We start from the raw sequence: 17,489 nt of genomic DNA on the forward strand, positions 1-17,489 counted from the left end.
TATGGGGCGTTGGTGGGTGCTGCTCCAGCCTTGCTGGGTATGGGCTGTCTGAATGTCCTTCCCCGCCCAGGACCCCGTGAGTGCGCAGCTCCCAGCATCCTCCCCCAGGCCCCTGCTCTTGCCACTCCCCAGCCCCAGGCCCCACCGGCCTGTCCCCTGCCAGGCCCATCTTAGCAGTACGTCCCCCAAAACTCATCCAGCCCAGCACTGGGTGTGGGTGCAGTGAGCGGGGTGAGTGCCATCCTTCCACCCTGCTTCAGGGCTGCTCTCCTCTCCAGTGACACCCATGAGGGGACGGGTCCCTGCTGGACATCTATGCCTTAACCCTGGAGGAGCTCACGGGCAGTGAGGGCAAAGTTAGTTTCCCCGAAACAAGCAAGCAAGTGGGGTGGCCGCAGGGCCTCTGCCCCCTAAGCACCACCGGGTCACCTTCCCCCAGTCCATAACCAGCCTATGCAGCCTTTCAGTTTCTTGGTTTCAAAAAGCTGCCCCCAACAGGGCTTCCCCAATGAGAAACTTGATCTGTTTTCCTCCAAAGATGAGAAAAAAGCTCCACTTCTAAAAATAGCCCACCTGGCTCCCCTGCGCTAGATGATTCCATGGCAATCCACTCCTTCCTAGGAGCCTCCTGATGTTAGAGGGGTCCCAGCCCTGAGGGGGTGCCCTGTGGCCTCCTCAGCCAGAGCCACCTATTACAGGGGTCAAGGAGATCCCTGAGTGGGGAATGGGGTGTGGGGGCACAGTAAACAAACAGGGCCTCCCCTGGTTCCGAGCCTCTATGATTTGAAGTAAACTCAAGACAGTTATGGCCGGGCATGGTGGCTCACGCCTATAATCCCAGCACTTTGGGAGGCCAAGGTGGGTGGATCACTTGAGGTCAGGAGTTTGAGACCAGCCTGGCCAACATAGTGAAACCCCATCCCATCTCTACGCTGAAGATACAAAAATTAGCCAGGTGTTGTGACGCATGCCTGTAATCCCAGCTACTCGGGAGGCTGAGGCAGGAGAATTGCATGAACCCAGGAGGTGGAGGTTGCAGTGAACTGAGATCATGCCATTGCACTCCAGCCTGGGTGACAAAGCAAGACTCCATCTCAAAAAAAAAAAAAAAAAAAAAAAAAGACAGTTTTGTGCAAAAGTGAGTTGCGTCAGTGGAAGGTGACCGGGCCAGGGGCCTAAGGCCCTGGTACATGTTAAGTCCCAGCTCTGCACTGGCCACACACCGGGTGGTTACCATCCTTCCCAGAGCAGCCACTAATATCCCCGGTGTAAGGACCAGCACACTTACCCAAGGCCATGTGGAGTGAGGAGCAGGACTGCCTGGCCCAGAACTGCCGCCTCCCCACCCCAGGCTGCCACCTCCATGCAGACAGCCTGGTCAGGAAGGCAAATGTGCCAGTCTTTGCAGGAAGGACAGAGGGACTTGTGAGGCCTCGGGAGTCTCAGTGACCCACTCGAGAGCATCCAGGGACGAGTCCCGGGCAGTAAATCAGACCGTAATGATCAGTGCGAGTGAGAATGTGGCACAGTGTGCAGCCCAGCCACAGCAAGTCAGTGTGACAGACAAGAAATGGCTCCCAAAGATGTCCATGTCCTAATCCCCAGAGCCTTAGATGGCTTGCCTTAGATGGCGAAAGGGATGTTGCAGATACAATGAAGAATTTTGAGATGCGGATTCTCCTGGATTACCCAGGTGGGCCCAGCACAATCACTGGATCAGAGAGAGTAGAAGATGCCTCTTTGCTGGCTTTGAAGATGGAGGAAGGGGCTATGAGTGAAGGAGTAAGGGCAGCCTGCAGAAGCTAGAAAAGGCAAAGCAACGCCTTCTCCCCTGGAGCCTCCAGAGTGAACGCAGCCCTGCTAACACCTGGATTTCAGGACTCCTGACTTCCAGAGCTGTAAGATAATAAATGTGTGTTCTGGGCCAGGCGCGGTGGCTCAGGCCTGTGATCCCAGCACTTCGGGAGGCCAAGGCAGGCGGATCACAGGTCAGGAGTTCAAGACCAGCCTGGCCAACATAGTGAAACTCCCTCTCTACTAAAAATACAAAAATTAGCCAGGCATGGTGGCGCACGCCTGTAATGCCAGCTACTCAGGAGGCTGAAGTGGGAGAATCGCGTGAACCTGGGAGGTGGAGGTTGCAGTGAACCGAGATTGCGCCACTGCACTCCAGCCTGGGCGACAGCGCGAGACTCTGTCTCAAAAAACAGGAAAAAAAAAAAATGTGTGTTGTTTCAAGCCATTGTCTTAATTTCCTGGGGCTGCCATAATAAATTACCACAAACAAGTGGCTTAAAATGACAGGAAATCATTCTCTCTCGGTTCTGAACTGAGACTTCTGGACTCAGTGTGGCCAGAGTTTACTCATGTGGAGGCCAAGCCCCCTTCATTGTTCAGCTGTGCCTCTGCCTGGGCTTGGGGTGAGGCCCACCCCCTTGTGCTCAGTGTGTGTCACAGCATCCTTGTCTTGCTGTGAGAACATGGGAGGTGGGTGATGCCACCTTCCCTTGAGGGGTGGTGTGTGTGTGGGTATGCATGGGAGCCTGCCTATGACGGGTAGTTCACGGCCTTGGAGCTGGGTGGGAGCCACCATCAGTGTGCCTGGGCTGGGTGCAGGGGTCCTTCCTGCCCAAGCCCACCCCTTCCTGGCCTCTCTGTCCCTCTATCCGCCTGTGATTCCACCTGCCACCAGTCTTGTCTTTCCCATGGACTGCTGTCAACTGCCACATGCTCCCTTTTGCCAGAGGACAAAGAGCCAGTCTCCTTGGTCTGTGCCAGAGGCCCCTTACCTTCTCCCCTTTCCAACCTACTCCTCTGTGTCTCACCCCTACCTACCCCCAACTTTCTTCAAACCCTGCCTTCTCATGTGTGATCGCCAACCCCGGGAGGAACCCATGGGCCTAGGTGGGCCCCGAAGCACTTATTCATTCACTCACTCATTCACTCATTCCCTCTCTCTCTTGTCCTACCCTCCCTCATTCTCCTGATCTCTCTGTCCCTTTGAGGGGACCTCTCCCTGCCTGTCTCTGCAGAACAGACTGTGCTCATGGGTAATCATTGGCCCAAGTGCCTTCTCATCCTGCCCCAACAACACGGCCAGTGACTTGAGGCCAGAACAAGCATGTCCCTGTGTCCCTGGGGACCTGAATTTGGACCTTAAGGGCTGCTTACTAAGGTGTACTCTTGAATAACAAGTTATACAGAAATGTGGCTACCTGCTTCCACCTGCCACACAGAAGGATGCTAACATGCTTACAGTTAGACTCACTGTACCTCTCACCAGCTCTTGCTTACAGAGCAGGGGTCACATTTGGGCTGACCCGCATCTGCATTGGGCATACCCCCTCAAGGCCCTCCCCGTGTTGAGCCGGGGGCCATTCTGATGGACAGGGGGCTGGCCGTTCTGGTTATTAGATGTACTGAACCTGGAAGATGACGTGTGCCTCAGGGACAGGTGGTAAGAGCACAGGCTCTAAAGCCAGAGACCTGGCTACTCAGGAATTTCCTCACCTCATGGCCCTGGGCAATTTCAATGTACCTTTCCGTCCCCAGATCTACCTCACGGGGTCTTCGCAGGCATTAACTGAGGCAGCGCCTCACCCACAGCCTGGCACCCGGAAAGGTGTGGTACACATCAGCCGTTAGAGCCTTTCTAAGGCTGATCCAGAGAAAGGGAGGCTTGTGAGCAGACAGAGCTGGACTCAGATCCCAACCCTGCCCCTCAATAGCTGGGCACTAAGCTGGTGGCTTGGCCTCTCAGAACCTGCATTTTCTTGCCTGCAGGGAGGGAAGAATAGCCACTGTCTACTGACCTCTACCGTGAGGCCCAGAGCAACAGCTTACGGAGCCAGTGGCCCAGACCCTGGCCCAGCCCGTGTGGCCTCCAGACGTCTGGGGGCCGCAGTTGGGCTTCTGAGTGCAGACACGCTGTGGCCTCTCAATGGCCTTGCCAGGGTAGGGACTGTCCCATCCCCAGGCAATAGATGAGGAAATTGAGGCTCTGAGAGGTGAAGCCATGCTCAGGCCGCCTGGCTGGCCACTGTCTTCCTTCTGGGCTGCTGGGGCCTCCATGAGAGGGGCAGGCGGTCATTTGAATAACAAGTTATTGTCATTTGGGGGCTGCAGTTGTGATGGGAGGCTCCCTGCCTCCTGGCTGGATGCTGACCCAAGCCCCTGTGGCCAGAGGGGGACAGGGTATGCCGTGGGCACCCTCCTCAGCTCCCCTTGGCTTGGGCCCCATGCAGCTGGCTGGCCTGACCCTGCCATGGACACCACGTGCACTCGGAACAGTGACTCAGCCATGTCCACCCCCGTGTACCTTGCCTGCCGTGGGAAGAAACGTTCTCTCACAGTATGCATTATTTTTCAAAAAAAGTCTTATATCTTGGGTTACAGATTTTCTTCATCTAAAAATAGTTTTTAGCTGATTATTTCTAAACAAGGCATTTCAGAAACCCCTTGGCAGTTACAGGCTCTGGGACTCACTGGGTGGTGTCAGCCTCTTGGTGTCCTGTGCCATTGTTAAACAGCAGCCTGGCCCTAGGCCAGCTGCCTCCTGCCCCACCTGCTGTGGTGCGCCACCCCCCAGAGACGCCCACAGCCCCATAACCCCAGATGCAGGCTGGGCTGGCAGGAAAGGGGCCCTGGGCAGCTGCGTGAGAGAGAGGTAAGAGGGGGCGTGGGAGCTGGCAGAGGGCACAGCCTGCCTCTCTCATGGAGGCCTCAGCAGCCCGGAAGGAAGAGGGTGGCCAGCCAGGCAGTGTGGGTATGACTTCACCTCTCAGAGCCTCGATTTCCTCATCTGTCACCTGGGGATGGTCCAGTCCCTACCCTGCAAGGCCATTGAGGGGCCACAGCGTGTCTGCACACAGAAGGCATTCTATCAGTGAGAATGGCTGTGTTCCTGCAGGGAGATCGGTGAAGGGGAGCCTCAACTGTGACATTGGGCCTTTTGGCAGACTTTGTTTTTGTTTGTTTGTTGTTGTGTTTTGGGTGTTTTTGTTTTGTTTTGTTTTTTGAAACAAGGTCTCATTCTGTTACACATGCTGGAGTGCAGTGGCACGATCATGGCTCACTACAGCCTTCACCTCCCTGGGCTCAGGTGATCCTCCCACCTCAGCCTCCTGGGTAGCTGGGACCATCAGCATATGCCACTATGCCCGGCTAATTTTTCTATTTTTTGTAGAAGACAGACTTTTGTCATGTTGCCCAGGCTCTTTTGGCAGAGTTTGGACAGAAGGTGGCATTGGGCTGGCCCTCAAAGGGGTGGGTGGGGCAGGACCTCTGGTGGGGGCAGATATGAGAAGGTTCCATGCAGTGGGGACATGGCGGGAAAGGCCCCAAACAGGAGCGCTCAGGCCTTTGCAGGGAACAGGGGACAGATTGGTGTGGCTGGGGGATGGGCATGAGCAGAGAGCAAAGTGAGGTTGACTGGACGGGGGTGATTGGCTTGGGGTAGGCCTGCGATGCTGAGAAAGGAGCCCAGGCTCCATTCTGGGGGCCTCTGTGCCCAGAGAGCAGTCTCCACCTCTCCACCCAGCAGAGCCCATCCTTCCCTGCACACCACAATGTAGGGAGCTGGCGCCCTGCATGCAGGTGGGTGCCTGTAGGCCTGCCGCCTCCAAAGCCCAGTCCCGGCCCTGCCATTCAATCTGGGCTCTCTTTACAGTCCTTCCCACTGACTCAGGTGGGCCCTTGCCCACCCCACCCTGGGAAGGCTGGGCCAGGATGGGGCAGGCACCTCACCCCGGCCAGGAACAGGAACGGGCACCATCTCGGGGACTGATGTTTTTTGAATGGCGCTATCCACCCTGCCCTGCTCGGCCTGGCTGTGCAGGCCTCTTGGTACCACGTCTGTTCGTAATGACCGTAACAACTCTATTTTCTTCCACAGATGACTCTGGGGACGACGACGAGGCTACCACCCCAGCCGACAAGAGCGAGCTGCACCACACCCTGAAGAATCTTTCCCTGAAGTTAGATGACCTCAGCACGTGCAATGACCTCATCGCCAAGCACGGCGCTGCACTCCAGCGCTCCCTGACAGAGCTGGACGGCCTCAAGATCCCATCTGAGAGTGGGGAGAAGCTGAAGGTGGTGAATGAGCGGGCCACCCTCTTCCGCATCACATCCAATGCTATGATCAACGTGAGTACCCACCCCCACCGCCCTGGCACGGGGCTCCCTGGCTCCAGCCCCGGGGTCCCTCGGTGGGTGACCAGGGTCAGCTTGAAGGGTCAGCGTTCCATTTCCTGCGGTTCCACGGTGTTTCCCAAAGCCAGCGCCCCCCAGCTAGCTTCCGAGTTCTTAAATCATCTCCTTCACTCGGCCGTCGTTGGGCAAGGACATTCTTCCTAATTGTCTGGAGGAAACGAGTTGGTTGTGGACTCTGGTGCAGTCTGCAGTTATTTACTTCATGCCTCGATAAGGAAGGTCGGGGCCCCAAGTTAAGTAGCTAGCCCAGCAGGTCAGTTCTGCCCACACAGTAGGGACACAGCTGCCACACTGGCCCTCGGTGGCTGCTACTCCTCCTCCCTGGGTTCACTCCCCAGATGCAGTGGGAGCAGACGCTGTGCACAACAAGGGGAGGGTGTGGTGGGGGGCTGCAGTCGAGGGCTCCCTGAGCTAGAAGGGCCTCAGAGCTGAGCCTGCCGAGGTCGTGCCAACCTGATGGTAGACAAAGCAGGTAACCGCAGTTGTAAACTAAGCAGCCCCGCCACAGGAGTCAGCCGCTCACCCTGGCTCTGGAAGCCACACGGCTAGGACTGGGAGCCAGGAGGGTGTCTCGATGGTGGTAGGAGGATAGTGCTTGGCCCTGCTTCCCTCTTTCTGTCTGGGGAGTGTTCCCCAGAAGTGTGCGTGCTCCTCCAGGCCTCCACCCTCCAGACACAGGTCTGACTGCAACAGCCTCCTCCCAGGACAGTCCCCCAGGGCGGCACATCTGGGCCAGGGGTGCAGTTGTAGGAGCTTGGGGTGGCCTGCTGGGAGTAAGGAGACCAGAGCAGAGGAGCTGTACAGAAATGGAGGCCGCAGAGGAAGAAGTGAGGTCCAGAGAAGGGGGTTCAGGAGAGTCATCGTGCTGGCTGGGGACAGTGGGCAGTGCTGGTGCCTGGGTGACCTCCAGCTGGGGGACCCAGCCCCCAAACTAGGAGGTTAGACCAGGGCCGGACTGGGAGCTGGGACCAAGCTCCAGGCCCCGCAAGAAATGCAAGGGCAGGGTGGGAAGATAGAGGCTGGAGCTCACCGCAGGCCAAGAGCCCAGGCTAAAACCTGGGCATCCAAGACCTGCCCCAAGCCGGCTTCACTGGCCTGTTGGCAGCATGATTGTGGGGCAGGAGGGCCACCCCACCACCCACACCTGCCCAGATATGCTCAGGCTCAGGCCTGGAGCACCCAAATGCAGCCTTGGGAATCCCACCCTGGGGCCTGAGGCTGGGCGAGGTGTGCCCCCCTTCCCGACTGCTGGGAAACTCAGCCTGCAGGTGCCCACCCGCCTCAGCTCAGCAGGTGTGTGCACCTTGTCCATCCCAGATCCCACAGTGCTGGGGGGTGGGGGGCAGTTGGCCCCATATGCCAAGGATGCTGAGAGGCTGCTGGGCCACCCTGCGTGTTGGCCCCATTGTCACCTGCACTGTTTTCCTACATCCACCCTCTCAGGCCCACTGTCCTCCTTACAGCCCACAGACCAGATTGCTGTACTTCTACCAGGGACACACACAAATGTGAAGCACTGAATGACATAATAATGCGTTTGTATTTCCCTGTCCCTCCCAGAAGCCACTGCCGGAGGCTTCCCAGGCACTGCCTCCCTACCCGAGACCAAAACTGCTTTGTCTTGAATAAGCAGTTTTGGCTTTTCCGAGATAATGAGCGTCTCAGCTGGCTGCCGTCTTGCACAGTCTTTTATCAGACATCAGAGGCTCATCTGTGTTTACGAAGCCATCAGAACAGCTCCAAGTTTAAGTGCCTAATGAATTGTTTTATGAGAAGCACAACCCCCTGGGGTTGGTCACGATTCCTTTCTGCAGCTCCAGCATCCGGGGAACATGGCGGCAGAGTCAGCCCTGAGTGACGGAAGCTGTGCCCTGGGCTGGGTTCTGCCAAACCTGCTGGTGTTAGCCTGCCATGAGGGCCCCTCCCCAAGCTCCTGCTGTTGAATCAGGGGCAGGGAGGGCAGGAGTGCAGTGCTGCCCCGACAGACTGTGCTTGTAGCCCAGGCTAGCCCAGAGGCTTGTGTTTCCCCTGGGGACCCTTCCTGACAGCCACTCCTCGCCTGGCAGGAACCGGGGTAGTTCTGGAAAGGCTGTTTGCGTGGCTCTCAGACACCAAGGGTTCAGCCCCCACTGTGTGCAGAGGAGCCATGTAGGCAAAGCCGGCCACTTGCCTGAAGGTCGTGGGATACAGGCATTCCCACCCTTGGCCAGGCCTTGGCTTTGGTACCTGTTAGGAGAAGGTGTTGGACCAGGGCTCTGTAACTAGAACATCCATGCTGCTCCCACCTCCAAACCTCCAGGGAGCCTATTCAGGCACCAGACCACTTACCCCTTCCAACAGCCTGGTTAGCACCTTGAGGGATTGTTAGTGTCAACGTGGAAACTGAGGCTCAGGGAAGTCACCAGCATAACCCAGCTGGTAGGTGGCCATGCCAAGATACATGCAAACCCAGGTCTGTGTGGCCTGCAAGAGAAGTGATGGCCCTCATTCTCTCATTACCTCAAAGAGGTAAGGGTGACCTCCTTGGAGGGTTGCAGAGGCCCCCTCCTGCTGTGGCTACACACCAAGGCCAGGATGCGGGGCAGCCTCACCCGCACCCTGGGCGGGATCCCAACCTCAAAGATCTCCGTGAGTCCCTGGAGTGTCTTACCTTTCAGCTTCAAGGTATCCTCTGGTCACCATGGCTGCAGCCCCACCAGGGCCCCTCCTGGGAAGCCAGGGACTTGGATATGGAAGCCACGCACCGCAGTCCCCAGAAGGTAGAAATCATCACCCCCAATCTCTTCCGATCTCACAGTGAGAGGGAGCTGCTTCTCCCACTGTGGGGGCCCCACTGCAACTCCATCCCACTCCCCAGCCCCATCCTGACTGTGATGTGTGCGGGGATGCTCCTAGCATCCCCTAGCGCCCGTGCCTGCATTAGGGAAATCTCTACTGCCACTGGCTCCTCGGACAGGGCAGACCCTCTTCCTCGTGAAATGCTGTGTGTTTTCCACTTTGTGGGCTCTGATTGAGCCGGATCGTAGAAGTGGAGCCTAAAATGAGGGATGGCTGGCCAGACAAAGCCCACATGGAGGGTGTCCTTCACAGCGCGCTGGGGCAGGCAGCTCTCTTCCTACAGGGACAGGCTGGCTGCTCCATCTTCACTTTTCCCCAAGACCACAAAGAATCTGGGGTTGTTCCGGCTTCAGGAGAAAAGTCAGGGTGGTTGGGTGTGGTGGCTCACACCTGTAATCCCAACACTCTGGGAGGCTGAGGTGGGTGGATCACTTGAGGCCAGGAGTTCAAGACCAGCATGGCCAACATGGTGAAACCCTGTCTCTACTAAAAATACAAAAATTAGCTGGGCATGGTGGCACGTACCTGTAATCTCAGCTACTTAGGAGGCTAAGACAGGAGAATCACTTGAACCCAGGAGGCAGAGGTTGCAGTGAGCCAAGATCGCACCACTGCATTCCAAACTGAACGACAGAGTGAGACTCTGTCTCAAAAAAACAAAACAAACAAACAAAACTTAGCCAGACATGGTGGTGCATTCTTGTAGTCCCAGCTACTCAGGAGGCTGAGGCAGGAGAATCGTTTGAACCCAGGAGATGGAGGTTGCAGTGAGCCAAGATCACGCCACTGCACTCCAGCCTGGCAACAGAGTGAGACTCTGTCTCAAAAAAAAAGAAAAAAGAAAAAAAGAAAAGTCAGGTGATTTCTAAATTTCTTTCAAGTTTGGGAAAGGACATTGATATCATAAGCCTTTAGGTCCTCAGCTCCTAGAAGGGCAGGGAGGGAGGGGGGTCCTCTGGATGATTCCCGAGAGCCCAGGACCCACAGCTAGTGGTGCAGGCCCATTCCACGCACCGTCTGGTCCTCGCAGGGCGCTGCAGCCATCCTCACCTCATATCAGGAATGGCTTCAGCCCCAGGGGTTTGAGGGAACAAGGTGCTCAGAGGTGGTTTCTGGATTGGGAATCTGGAACAGCAACGCTGTGTTTCAACCCCCCACGCCTTTACCAGTGCTGTACCTTCTAGAACACCCCTTCCTCACCCTTCAGGTACTGGCAGCTCCCTTGTCATCCTTCAGAACCCCGCAGGGACATCACCATGGCTTTCCAAGGCCTCTCTTGGGCAGCCGTCCTCTTGGCTGGGACCCCGGCTCCCAGGCATACGACCACGTGGCACTTAATCCACTGTTTCAATCACTCCCCAGTGGGCTTTGTGCTCCCTGAGGTCAGGCTGAGTGTCTTACTCACGGGTGTCCCCGACAGTAGCTCCGTGGGAGTGCCAGTGAGTGATGTTTCATAGTGGGTCTTGTGTCTCTAGATAAAGCACTCCAAGTGGCCCACGGCTCACATTTACCTGTGATGTTACCTATTACAAAGCTCTTCTAGTCCCATTTTCTCACCTGAACAAGGTCAGTGAGAAAGTGGAGGCCCAGCCCCGAGGCCTCAGCCTGCCGAGGTCACCCCTGCACCCCGCACCCCCCTGCACTCCCCTTCCAGAGGGATCACCTGGCCCAGAACAGCATTTCGTGGCATTAAATTGTATGGGCAACCACACTTTCCATGTGCACGCCACACTGGGCTCCAGCCTCCCTCTGCCTTGTGGCATTTTGATTGGCAGGGTTCTTTGTTGTTTTTTTTTTTTCTTTGAGATGGAGTTTCGCTCTTGTTGCCCAGGCTGGAGTGCAATGGCATGATCTTGGCTCACCACAACCTCGGCCTCCCAGGTTCAAGCTATTCTCTTGCCTCAGCCTCCTGAGTAGCTGGGATTATAGGTATGCACCACCACACTCGGCTAATTTTGTATTTTCAATAGAGAAGACGTTTCTCCATGTTGGTCAGGCTGGTCTCGAACTCCCGACTGCAGGTAATCCGCCTGCCTCGGCCTCCCAAAGTGCTGAGATTACAGGAGTGAGCCACCGCGCCTGGCCCTGGCAGGGTTCTTTCTAGCCGGACTCAGAGGGTGTACTTTGTGGGCCTTGGAAGGACCCTCTGGGGTCAGCATCTGAGTAAGTCAGCAGCCCCGTCATGAACTCAGGGCAACCCCTCTCTCATCACACAGCTAGGAAAGCCCTGCCTGATGGGCATTTGACATCAGACCTTAGCAGCTGCCTCCTGATCCCTGCCCAGGCCTGTGCCAGGCAGGGACTCGCAGGGAACAGGCAATCCAGCAAACTCTTAAAGTGACAGGCTGCCAGGCATGTGCTCATCAGTGTGACCTGTTCTAAGATGACCCAGGGCCGCCAGCTCACATGCCCACTTTTGAAGGCCAAGTTTAGGGAAGAGCCCGGGAAGGTTCCCAGTTGGCGGAGAGGCAGATTCCTGTCCAGCTGACCACAGCCCAGCGGGAAAGCCAGGGCAAGCCTTGGCTGGGCCTACAGAGGGCCGAGGCAGCAGACACAGAATGGGAAGTAGGCTTTCTCCCAGGCAGAGAAGGAAAATATTACTATTTTCCCTTCTGGGCTGTCATCGTGCGCAGGTCTTTCTGCTCTGGCCAGGATGGGGACCTGCACCGGTTTGGCTCTGAAGCCCCCCTCCTCTGTTATTCCCACCTGCCCACCCAGTTATCCTTCCTGGGCCTCTGGACAGTTCTCCAGTCATGGTGGGCCCGTGGGCAGGACTTGGTCATTGGGCAAGGCTTGTCAACTGTGTGGGTGGTGGCCTCACCGCCCCACTGCCCTGGAAAGGAGAGCAGACTCCTTGCCGTCCCCCTCAGGGAACCTGGAGAGATCAGCTTGGCTCTTGGCTTTCAGCCATGAGAGAGAAACAGGGTATGGGGTTCACACGATTCCTGAGCATCTCTGGTGGGCCCAGCAGCCTCTCCCGACCCGTTCCCCACAGGCCACCTGTCCCTGGTTGCGTCTTCCTGCCCTGGTGGCAGTTCCCCCAACACCCATGCCCCAGCTCCTAAGGACTGGGCTATGAGGGGCTGGGACAGGCCCTGCCAGTGGGGAGCCAGGATGGGAAAGGGGATGAGTGTTCCATGCATTGCGTGGCATGCCAGACATTCTGCATGCACCTCCCCTGCCCCTACTCTGCAGGCTTACGCATAGGGAGACCAAGGCTGAGGGGCTCAGGATCCCAGCTGAAAAGGATACAAGCCCATACCTTCCTGATTCCAGAGCCCACTACACTGCTGCATTATGGTAGAGAAATAAACCTGACCCTCCCCTTGATCAGGGTCAGGAGGTCAGGAACACCTCCCCTGTCTACCCTCACCCTGCATCCCTGTCCTGGCACCACTGGCCACCCACCTTCTGCAGGCCTGCAGAGTCTCAGAGATCTTTCCACTGCAGCATCTTCACCCTGTCCTTCCTGCAAGGGCAGGACGCAGTATCTCTCACAATCCCCGTAGCCCTGTAGCCTCTATGCCTGGCTCAGAGCCCAGCACATGGGAGCCTCAGCAAATGAGAGAGAGAGAGGAGGGGTGGGGAGAATATTGTGAAAAATCACAGGAGCAAATGAATGAATCGCTTAGTGTCTGGCAAAATTCCCTAGTGGGTAATTTTTTTTGACTCTGATAAAAGCTAGCCTAGCAGATCCGTGCTTGAATTACTGTTTTGGGTAACTGTGAATTCTCCTGCCATTTAAGAGAAACCCCGTAGGACTATTAAATGACTTTGGTTTTTAGAATGAGTCTTGAACCATAACGTGCCTGCCCACAGGTGCTCGGCCAGGCATGAGGTGGGGACATTCTCCCTCATAGCAGCGTCCTCCCTGAGCACCAGGGTATACCTTGTACAGTGGCACTGCCTCTGTCACTTGGCTTAAGGTGGAGAATGATTGAGTTCGTACATATTACAAGCTCAGGCTTGGAGTGTTAGCATCCATAAAGTGAAAAAGCTGCGGGAGCAGGTTCCGTCTGCAGGCCAGGGCAGCAGAGCAAGGCTGGGGCGTGCTCTCCCCTGCAGTCCTGAGCCCCCTAGGTGGGCTGGCAGCTGGGCTCCATCCTGCTTCTTAGCAGCCTGTGGGCTTGTTCCTGCTGCTGTCCCTCCAGTCCCTGCAGGCGGGGCCCAGGCAAGACAGACTGCACCTGACTCGACCCCCATTCCTGAACTTGGAAGGCTCCTCATAGTTGGTCACTCATGCTGGGCCTAGGACATGGTCCTTCTGACCACATGACCCCCTGTGGCACTTGGGAACCTTGAGCTGTGAGGGTGAACACAGCCCCAGCCTTGTGGGCCCCGCACCCTCCTGTGGGAGCTGTAACCACATAGGTGATATGGGATGTCAGCGGCAAAAGGACCTTTAGGGGAAAGAGCCAGTGAGGTGGGATGGGGTGAAAGGCCACAGGTGCAGACAGGCTGGGGGCTAAGCAGGGGCACAGGTGCCAGGCACCCTGGAGTGCGCACTGGGAGCCACAGGAGGGGAGGTTGGAGTGAAGAGGAGGCCAGTCACAAGGGACCTTGTGCTGACAGTGTTCTGCTTCCACTTGAAATGAGACAAAGGACTCAATGCCAAGTGACTCAATGCCAATGTCAATGACTCAAGGCCAAATAAAATGATCCCACGTGCATTTTAGCAAGACCCCTCTGCTGTTTGGAGAATGCGCTATCCGCGAGGCAGGGGCAAGTGCTCGGAGACCCTTCGGGGGCCCCTTGGGCAGAGAAAGTAGAGCTGGCGCCCGTGAGAGTGGGCAGTGCTGCTCTGAGCTGAAGGCAGGGACAGCAGAGTTGCTGTGTGGTTGAGAAAAGAGGCCATGGGGAAGGACCCCATGCTGGGGGCCTAAGCCGCTAGAGAATGGGGGCCTTGCTGTCTGACGCCCTGCTTGGCCCACACATGGTTCCGCAGGATGCAGGAGGGTCTTTCCCAGGAGTGGGTTTTGTGTAGCCAGTGAGTGGGCAGAGCTAGCTTGCAGAGCTAGCTCGAGGTGCCCAGTGCAGGCAGAAAGCAGGGCTGGGCTGGCCAACAGAGGGTAGATGCTTACCAGGCCTGATGGGAGAGATGCCGCACTCTTGGTCCCTGGGTTTACCAAGGAAGGTAGCATCCCTCAGGAGACACACTTTGGTGCCTGCCGCAGGGCTGGCTGGGCAGTATGGGGTGCCTGCGACATCCTGATGGCAAGGACATGGGAAAACCTGGGGAGGAAGGGCACCCGGCACAGCCAGCACTCGATGGAGTCGGCTCGGGGGACACTCCACTTGGGGACACTCCAGCTGCAAGGGCAAAGTATGAGGGGGAAGTAGGAGACATTGGGGGCACCAGATAGAGTGGGCACTGGGGGTAGCCAGGGGCTGCTGGGAAGAGGGTCACAGGAACAGAGACAGCAACCTGGGGCCCTCAGACAGGGCTTCTGATGTGGGGCATCATAGAAACAAAGACCCGCATCAGAAGGGGCCCCACTGCTGGACATGCTGAGGCTTCTCTGAGGCCCCTCTTGGCTCACGGCCCAGGAGATCACGTGGGGCTCCTTAGGCCAACCCAGGCAGGGGTGAGAGGCCCGGAGCTGCCCTCCCTTGTCCCTCCGGGGCCTGTGGGGCAGGTTTCTGCCCAGCTGACCACCGTCCTGCTCTGACAGCTTGCTCATCCAGGGCCTGGGGAGATGGGTAAAAATAGATTCCAGATTTGTCTAAAATCAGTTGGCAAACTGGAAGCCAGATGGTGTTGGTTCCTGTGTGCGAGTGGCAAACTATTTTGAATGTGGAGAGGCTATTTTAAAGTTTTAATTGGACTGGAAAGCTGCTTCACCAGTGCCGAGAGTGAGTCAAGTCAAGGAGACATTCTGATCGACCCCCGGTGGGGACTGGGAAGGGCTGAAACCCCTGTGTGCTACCAGCCTGGGCCAAGCGCTCCTGTGAGGAGCAGGCCCTGGAAGCTCCGCCTCGGGGGTCAGGCAGGTGATGGAGACACAGCATGACAGCTTGGCTGGGCCAAAGGGATCCCCGGGGGAGCCCAGCACTTCCCCTTGTGGCTCCATGGGTCCCCAGTCTGGGTCTTGGACACTTAAGACCAGAATCGCAGTGCAGCTCCTTCCTGCCTTTGTGAGGCACCTGCTGAGCTTGGGTTTCATCTTGTGTAAAGTGAAGCCAAGCCAGGCATGGTGGCTCATGCCTGTAATCCCAGCACTTTGAGAGGCCGACGCGGGCAGATTACTTGAGGTCAGGAGTTTGAGACCAGCCTGGCCAACATAGTGAAACCCTGTCTCTACTAAAAATACAAAAATTAGCCAGGTGTGGTGGCAGGTGCCTGTAGTCCCAGCTCCTCAGAAGGCTGAGGCACGAGAATCGCTTGAGCCTGGGAGGCAGAGGTTGCAGTGAGCTGAGATGGCACCACTGCACTCCAGCCTGGGCAAGAGCAAGACTCTGTCTCAAAAAAAAAAATAGGTGAGGCCAGCCCGCCACTCCTCAATGGCAGGGGAGGCAAGATCCTGTTACTCCAGTGAGTCCCCTGGCCATGCAGAGGGGTTCAGGGAGACCCTGACTCTCTGCGATCTCACCGCTCATCACCTTCAGAACCCCAGGCTGGTGAGAGGCAGGGTCTGTGGCAACAAGGGATGTGAGGATCAGCGTGGAGGGTGGGTAGCCTTGGCCCTAGAAACCTGGAGAGCAGAGGGTCCTCCGGCCGCCCACCTGGGAGCCCAGAGCCAGAGGGCAGACACGTCAGATGCCTGGCAGGTCCTGGACCAGCCGCAGATAAGAACACGGCCCTTTCTCCCATTATCCCTGCACCAGGGGTGCTGGGACCTCCTGTGTGTGCTAATGGCTGGAGCCAGTTTCCTAGCCTGGACCATATGGGCATTTGGCCCATCTCCCCACCTCCTCCGTGAGCCCAGTGGCTGCCCACGTCAATGCCCAGCAGGCCTCTGGTGCCTCCCTCACATCCCTGTCTAGAAGGGAAGTTTCCAGGAAGCCACTGAAGGCCAGACAGGGTCCTGGCTCTGCATGCTCCCAAGAGCCTGAGAGGCTGCCCTAGGTCACACACAGGGGACCCAGGCTAGCTGACCTCACACCTTGCTCTCCCGCCTGGCCTGGGGAGCAGTGAGATCACTGTCAGGATTAGGATTAGGATTAGGAACAGCAAAAGCGATTAGAGTTTGTCCTCCTCTTCCTGGGGTGCATCTGGGCAAAGGTTTCCAGGTCAGAGATGCTCAATGTCTGTCCCATGGGGCACCGGTGACCAGCAGCAACCCCTGCTCAGACCTCACATGGCATGGCCCCTGACTTGGTTTCCCCTGGGTGGGCAGCCCTTACAGCCTTCTTCCCCAGGCCAGACTTCTCAGTAGGGAGAGTCCCTGGTGGTCAGGCAGGGCCTGGACTCCCCAGGTGGGGCTGCCCCAGGGCGGAGACCCCCCTTGTCTGTCGAGCTTTGTGGTTCTCACTCTGCTTGGGGGCAACTCGACAGGCTCCCTGCCCTCCCCATGGAGACAGGACCACACTGCCCAGGGGCTCTGCACCCCAGGCCGGCCCCTCTGCATCTCAGAGCACCCATACCCCCAACACCCCTTTCACCAGAACCCTCTGTGCAGCACTTGGGGGTAGGCAGAAGGGGCAGGGCCAGGACACTGGAACTCTGTCCCCACGCTGAGGACAATCAACCTGACAGGTCACAGAATCAGGGACTCTGTAGGAGCCCAGGAGGGCGCCAGGAGATTACAGGCCTGTCCCAGGATTGGGCAGTGGGGTAGCACCCATGCAGGGCCCAGGTACCACCTCCAGCTCCCACTAGGACCCCTCACTCTCTTCCCCTTAAACAATTCAGGACACAAATGTGCGGGTAGGGGGCTTCAGGTCAGCCCGTCTCTCCTCCTGCTCACAGCTGAGCACGAGTCTCCTGGCCCCAGGTAGAGTTGTCACACAGCCTCAGAGAAATGAGACCACGTTCAGGCCTGGGCTGGGTCAGCCAGGCCCTCCCTGGGCCCCTGGGAACCTCCCCCTGCCAGTCCCTCTGCCGGGCCCCAAGCCTAATCCAGCTTATCAAGCACACAGCACACAGCCCAGCTCAGCATTCTGAGAACAGCAGGGCCACGCCAGGCGCCTGCCTCTCCCCACAGCACAGCCAGGATGGGGCCTGGAGAAGGCCGGCAGCAGCAGAGGAGACCCTGGGAGTCAGGGATGGACACCAGGTGGGTGCATCCGGGCTGGGGGAGGTGGACGGGCTCTCTGCATCCATGGGGTGACCAGGCAGCTCATGTGCTGTGGGGGTAAAGGTCTTGGGTGCAGCCACATGAGGCCTTTGATATTAGGGCACAGCAGTTTTCACCCTGCCCCGCTTTTAGGTGACTGTGACACTCTACGACCTGCATGTGCCCAGCCTAGGCACATGTACCCAAATGAGGCCCAGCTGT

General features: G+C 57.4%; 1 protein-coding gene and 1 long non-coding RNA gene across 7 annotated transcripts in view, besides 5 other annotated features; one reads left to right on the plus strand and one right to left on the minus strand.

Moving 5' to 3' along the window:
- OSBP2 (oxysterol binding protein 2) overlaps window positions 1-17,489 on the plus strand; it is a 214,032-nt gene that overhangs the window by 170,754 nt on the left and 25,789 nt on the right. For 5 of the 6 annotated variants that reach the window (NM_001282738.2, NM_030758.4, NM_001282739.2 and 2 more), the window contains one exon: window positions 5,894-6,147. In NM_001282738.2, the coding sequence (NP_001269667.1) occupies window positions 5,894-6,147 (254 nt within the window). Of the gene's footprint in view, window positions 1-5,893; window positions 6,148-17,145; window positions 17,268-17,489 lie in introns of those variants that run through there. The other variant, NM_001282742.2, reaches the window with a different exon arrangement.
- Window positions 3,484-4,020: an enhancer, noted in NCBI's record as "H3K27ac-H3K4me1 hESC enhancer chr22:31264006-31264542 (GRCh37/hg19 assembly coordinates)". NCBI's record gives its function as "activates a minimal SCP1, AML or CMV promoter by ChIP-STARR-seq in primed H9 embryonic stem cells {active_cell/tissue: H9 hESC(primed)}" and the evidence as "EXISTENCE:reporter gene assay evidence [ECO:0000049][PMID:30033119]".
- Window positions 4,021-4,556: an enhancer, noted in NCBI's record as "H3K27ac-H3K4me1 hESC enhancer chr22:31264543-31265078 (GRCh37/hg19 assembly coordinates)". NCBI's record gives its function as "activates a minimal SCP1, AML or CMV promoter by ChIP-STARR-seq in naive and primed H9 embryonic stem cells {active_cell/tissue: H9 hESC(naive and primed)}" and the evidence as "EXISTENCE:reporter gene assay evidence [ECO:0000049][PMID:30033119]".
- Window positions 8,191-8,691: an enhancer, noted in NCBI's record as "H3K4me1 hESC enhancer chr22:31268713-31269213 (GRCh37/hg19 assembly coordinates)". NCBI's record gives its function as "activates a minimal SCP1, AML or CMV promoter by ChIP-STARR-seq in naive H9 embryonic stem cells {active_cell/tissue: H9 hESC(naive)}" and the evidence as "EXISTENCE:reporter gene assay evidence [ECO:0000049][PMID:30033119]".
- On the minus strand, window positions 8,355-12,840 carry LOC105372994 (uncharacterized). The gene is made up of 3 exons (XR_007068062.1): window positions 12,460-12,840; window positions 8,542-8,676; window positions 8,355-8,439 (listed from the first exon to the last, which is right to left on the minus strand). It is a non-coding gene; the product is annotated as an uncharacterized LOC105372994 (long non-coding RNA).
- Window positions 13,145-13,887: an enhancer, noted in NCBI's record as "H3K4me1 hESC enhancer chr22:31273667-31274409 (GRCh37/hg19 assembly coordinates)". NCBI's record gives its function as "activates a minimal SCP1, AML or CMV promoter by ChIP-STARR-seq in primed H9 embryonic stem cells {active_cell/tissue: H9 hESC(primed)}" and the evidence as "EXISTENCE:reporter gene assay evidence [ECO:0000049][PMID:30033119]".
- Window positions 13,888-14,629: an enhancer, noted in NCBI's record as "H3K4me1 hESC enhancer chr22:31274410-31275151 (GRCh37/hg19 assembly coordinates)". NCBI's record gives its function as "activates a minimal SCP1, AML or CMV promoter by ChIP-STARR-seq in primed H9 embryonic stem cells {active_cell/tissue: H9 hESC(primed)}" and the evidence as "EXISTENCE:reporter gene assay evidence [ECO:0000049][PMID:30033119]".

Source organism: Homo sapiens, chromosome 22, assembly GCF_000001405.40.
Source record: "Homo sapiens chromosome 22, GRCh38.p14 Primary Assembly".
Lineage (NCBI taxonomy): Eukaryota > Metazoa > Chordata > Mammalia > Primates > Hominidae > Homo > Homo sapiens.